At 34.6% G+C, this 5533-nt stretch overlaps 1 long non-coding RNA gene across 1 annotated transcript; it reads left to right on the top strand.

Annotated features, from left to right (window-relative positions):
• Positions 1–2074: 2074 nt before the first annotated feature.
• LOC124900833 (uncharacterized) lies at positions 2075–5122 on the top strand. The gene is made up of 3 exons (XR_007058424.1): positions 2075–2218; positions 3570–3780; positions 4968–5122. It is a non-coding gene; the product is annotated as an uncharacterized LOC124900833 (long non-coding RNA).
• Positions 5123–5533: the final 411 nt, after the last annotated feature.

The raw sequence follows: 5533 nt of genomic DNA, 5'->3' as shown, positions 1-5533 counted from the left end.
AAGGAAGGAAAAAGGAAAAAAGAAAGGAAGTAACTAACCCTACATCAAGTGAGAAAAATTTGTACTTTATATATGACTTACTCAATTAAAAAAGACAAAAAAAAAAACTTATGCAATATCTGCATAATAATCCAAAGTGAGATGCAAGAGAATATTGTCTCTGTAAAAGAAGAGAAAAAGACAGGGATAACGTAGGTTATAATAACAATACATCTGACAACTAATAAGAAAAAATAAGATGAAAACTAGCAAACTACATAAATACATACTTACATACATAAATGCAACAGAATTAAGTGCACTCCAGAAAAAATAAAAGTAATATTTGCCTCTGAAGAAATTAAATTAAGAGTTGGAAGCCACTGTTAAAAAATATTCCTTAAACCAGAGGATGTAATATACATCAACAATCTAGAACAGTAGGAGATTCAGCTAAATTATACTAAAAGGAGAAAGTACTGCCAATGAATCAGAAGAAATGTTGCAGTATAAAAAAAGGGAAATTCTGGGCTTGGAAACCATTAGAAAAATAATTGAGCTTGGAGATATGTGTTATAGTCCTTTTTGAGTGAAGGAGTTAATCAGATAAAACCAGGTATAACCAGATTCATGGGCTATATTCTTTGGGCATTTGACATTTTCAGTGTTGATGAAGATTCCTGCACAAGTGTAAACTAAAGAAAAAAACACCCAAAGGGCCACATTTACTAAGTGCCCACTCTGTGCTAAGCCCTGGAGACACAGAAGTGAGAAGACAGTCAGGATCCTTCTTACAAGCTTTCAGAGCTCCTGTAGAAAAGGGACAGGATGCTAAGAGAGCAACACAGTAACATAACAATTGCTAATGTTGATTGAGCACTTGCTCTGGACCAGCACGGTTCTGTATGCTCTCAGTATTTAATCCTCATTATGTATTTTACATATGAGGAGGCTGAAGTGCAGAGAGGTTAAGAGATTTCCAATTCATGGAGTTATTAGGTGAGACAGCTGGTATTTGAACACAGCTTGTCTAGTTCCACCCTCCTGATTTTTTTCTACTCATCTTAGGGAGGAAGAAATTTTTAAATTCAAGCCAGTAAGTGAATAGCAGATAGCAGAGCAGATGTAGGGAGACACAGGAAGTAAGAATTCTCTAAGTAGAGAAATAAACTTTTTCACAGACCCTGAAGTAGGAAAGAACTTGGGGAACTGGAAAGACTTATATGGTGAGACTAAAACTACATGAGGCAAAAATTAATCAATAAATGTTCCTTCTACCACTTCACCTTTAGTGTACTTCACCAGCTGTACACTTTAGGCCACGGCCTCAAATATTGGTATGTCCAGAGTTATTTTCTTATTTCTCTTTTCTTTCTACACATTTTTCCTTGAATTAAACACTGCCATGATTTAATTACCATAGATATCAAAATTATTTCTAAAATCTCCCTGATTATTCTAAATAGCTAGCCTATTTCTCTTTCCCCCATCCTATCTCTCTCTATCTTTCTCCCCTCTCTCGCATTCATCTCTGATTCTACTTAGTATGTGAGTGAAAAACAAAAGCCACCAAATCTCCCCAGAAATAAATCAAAACGTCAATCTTGATGATTCTTCATGACTTAACATGCCCTCACATCATCAGTGGACAAATCATACAGAATCTGCCTCCTAGACAGCTAATAAATCCATCTGGCATTCCCATAACTTCTGCCTGAGCCTAGAGTATTGACACCCGTTATTACTCACAGGATTATTTTCAATCAGAACTCCACACTTTCTAGATTCTTATTTATCAGTTCTGTATTAATCAGAGTTCCCCAGAGACAGACAGAAACAATAGATGAATAGATAGATAGATGATAGATAGAAGATTTATTAAGTGAGTTGACTCATCTGATGATTATAAAGGCTGAAAATTTCCACAATAGGCCATCTGCAAGCTGGAGAAACTTGCAGTGAAACTGGTGGTGTAACTATTAATCAAAGTCCAAAGGCATCAGAACCAAGGGAGCTTACAGAGTAACTCTCAGTATGAGGTCAGAGGCCTGAGAACCTGACGGATTGCTGGTGCAAGTTCCAGAATCCGAAGTCTGGAGAACACTGAGTTCTAACATCCAAGGGCAGAGAAAAATGGTATCCCAGCTCCGGAAGACAGAGAGCAAACTATTTCACATTGTCTCTGCCTTTTTATTGTATCCAGGCGCTCAGCTGATTGGATGATACCTGCTCCCATTGGGTGAGGGCAGATCTTCCTTATTCAGGCCACTGACACCCTCACAGGCATACTCAGAAATAATGCTTTATCAGCTATCTGGATATCCTGTAATCCAGTCCACCTGACACTTAAAATTTACTGTCACAAGTTTCTTCCTTTTGTCAGGAGCTGACAAGCTCAGCTGGAGAGAGCTGAGCTGCCAGGTGTCATAGTAGGCAATCAAGATAACAAGGCAAAATGAAAGTAACAGTCAAGATTTCAATATTGACTGTGATGTGATAGTACAGTCACGCACCACATAATGACATTTTGGTAAATGACAGACCACGTATATGATGGTGGTCTTATTATAATAAACCTTAAAAATTCCTGTCACCTAATGACATTCTCCCTGTCATAAAATTTTAGCACAACACATTACTCATGTTTGTGGTGATGCTGGTATAAACAAACCTACTGTGAGTCATATGAAAATATAGTACACACAATTATGATACCTGATAATGATAATAAATGACTAGGTTATTGGCTTATGTATTTACTATACTATGATTTTAATTGTTGTTTTTAGAGTTATACTTCTACTTAGAAAAAAAAAAGTTACTGTAAAACAGCCTCAGGCTGATCTTTCGCGGGTATTCCAGAAGAAGGTGTTGTTATCATAGGAGATGACAGCTCCACACCAGTTACTGCTCCTGAAGACCCTCCAGTGGGTCAAGATATGGAGGGTGGAAGACAGTGATATTGGTGATCCTGACACTGTGTAGGCCTAAGTTAATGTTTGTGTTTGTGTCTTCATTTTTAACAAAAAGTTTAAAAAGTAAAAACAAAAATAAACTTTAAAGATAGAAAAAAATTATAAAATAAGAATGTAAAGAAAGAATACTTTTGGACCACTGTACAATGTGTTTGTGTTTTAAGAAGTGTTATTACAAATGAATCAGAAAAGTTAAACAAATTTAAAAGTTTATAAAGTAAAAATGGTATAGTAAATAAGATTAATTTATTATTGAAGAAAGAATATTTTTAAAAAATAAAGTGAAGCCTAAGAATAATAAAGAATAAGAATGGATAAAGCCTACAGTAGTGTACTATAATGTCTTAGGCCTCCAAATTCTTCACTCACTGACTCACCCAGAACAACTTCCAGTCCTGCAAGCTCCATTCATGGTGAGCGCTCTGTACCTGTGTACCGTTATTTATCTTTTATATTGTATTTTTACTGTACCTTTTCTATGTTTGAATACTTTTAGATACACAAATATTATTGTGTTATAATTGCCTATAGTTATTCAGTACTTCCTGAGTAGCTGGGAGGCATGTGCCACAGCACATGGCTAATTTTTATATATTTATTTGTTTTTGCATCCAGGATCTCACTATGTTACTTGGGCTGGTCTCGAACTCCTGGCTTCAAGTGATCCTCCCATCTCAATCTCCCAAAGTGCTGTGACTACAGGTGTGAGTCACTGTGCCAGGCCCAACCTGAAACCTTGACTGCAACTCACCTCAGAGACTGCGACACACTGGCTATGCCCCAAGTCATATGTGGAGAGGGCAGCTTTTCTCATCCGGCTTGCCAGGTAAGGCCTTTTTAATTGCCATTGGTTGAGTATCAAAAACCATCCATAGGTGTGTACTTTAGCCAGGAAACAAACTCTTCAAAGTTTGGATTTGTCTCACATTTTGATCTTCCTCATACCATGCATTCCCTCAATTCTCCATGTGTTTATCTCTCATATATTTATTTATTCTGCTTCTTCTGCCTTGCACACTCTCTCAGCTATTTTTGGTATATTTATCCCTTCCTTATACATCAAGTCTCCAGGAATCTTCTCCAACCTACTAAGTTTTCTTTAGCATTTTGAGCTATTTCAAACACCATCATCTTCAACTCTGGGTATAAGTAAAGATTTCTTTATTATTTGTGTCCTGGAACTCATGTTAAATTTACATATTATTTAAACTTTAGTCCTTTCTAAATTTTCTCCAATATATATATCCCTACTTGAAAACAAAACTTACTAAAAAGTGGTATGGAGTTTCTCTAAAGGAAAATGGTCTGTAATAAAAAATGTTTTCTGTCCTCTGGTTAAACTTGTAACACAAGGATTCATTTAGGAGCAATTATAATCATTAGAAAATTGCTTCTTAAAGTGACCGAATATCTACTATACTTTCAACTCTTAGGACTTGGTCAACTTTTATTGTCTTTTTTGTTTGTTTGTTTTATGTGATGGGCATTCACTTATTTGAAAACAGATATCAGTACTTTCTCCTTTTTTAGTGATTCTTAAAATGTGAATGGTTTTCAGATCTCACTCCAAACATTATCACTTTGATGAGCTCTTATCTCTAAATATTTCTATAAAATGTAATCCTGTGAATGAACAAAATAAAATGGATGTAATCTTAATTTAATAAACTAGAGCTATATTAACTCTCAATCCTGTTACTGTAATTCTTGTCTGGGTTTATTACATAGTTCTATAAATTACATTTTAAATATCTCAAAAATCTACATGTGTTAATGGCTTCTTTCCCTTTAACACTAGACATAAGTGAACTATTAAAATGTGTATGTGTATTTGAAGATATAAACTAAAATGTTTCCTTTATCATTTTCAGCAAACACTTGGACACTAAACCTTTTTATCTCCTCTACATATATTTCTCTACTAATATTTACCTTTATCTCAGACATAATTTTATGATATTATCAGTAAAGCATATCTTCTATAGTGGATTAACTGACATCTATTGGTTCCAGGCTCTTCTAAATTGAACATAGACAGAAGGAAAAGAAAGGCATGTTCTGGGAGCTCAGAGTCTTTTGTTACACGTGTCTCGAAGGGTACTAATACATCTCCAGTAGCTGTGATTATGCCATGAAATGTCTCTAATAAAAATTACTTTTTGAAATAACTGTTTTTCACTTGCTCTTTTGGAAACATTATTCCAAAAGATTGTGTCTCTAATTTTATGATGGAATTCATTTGGAAACTTAATTTACTTTACAAAAATTCTTGTTAAATATATTTTGATGGAATCCAATAAAGAGAAATCAATACTGTATGTATTTATACATATATATGTATTTCAATACCATTCAATCTCCTCTAGTCTATGAAATAGGGATCATGTGAAAATCAATTTAAGCATTTCCAAGTAAGATTTAATAACCTAACATGTCAAAAATGTTTTATTAAATTCAGCTATAATTCATCTCTAACAAAATTACGCATGAAGATTGAAGTCTCTTAACTTGCAGAAGATTTGTACAATCATTTGCAGAATGATTTAAGAAGAAACAATGAGTCTCTGTTGATAGTGACA

The sequence above is a fragment of the Homo sapiens genome, chromosome 4 (assembly GCF_000001405.40).
Source record: "Homo sapiens chromosome 4, GRCh38.p14 Primary Assembly".
NCBI classification, from domain to species: domain Eukaryota; kingdom Metazoa; phylum Chordata; class Mammalia; order Primates; family Hominidae; genus Homo; species Homo sapiens.
Note: the sequence above shows the minus strand (reverse complement) of the source record. Positions and strands in the feature narration are given on the sequence as shown.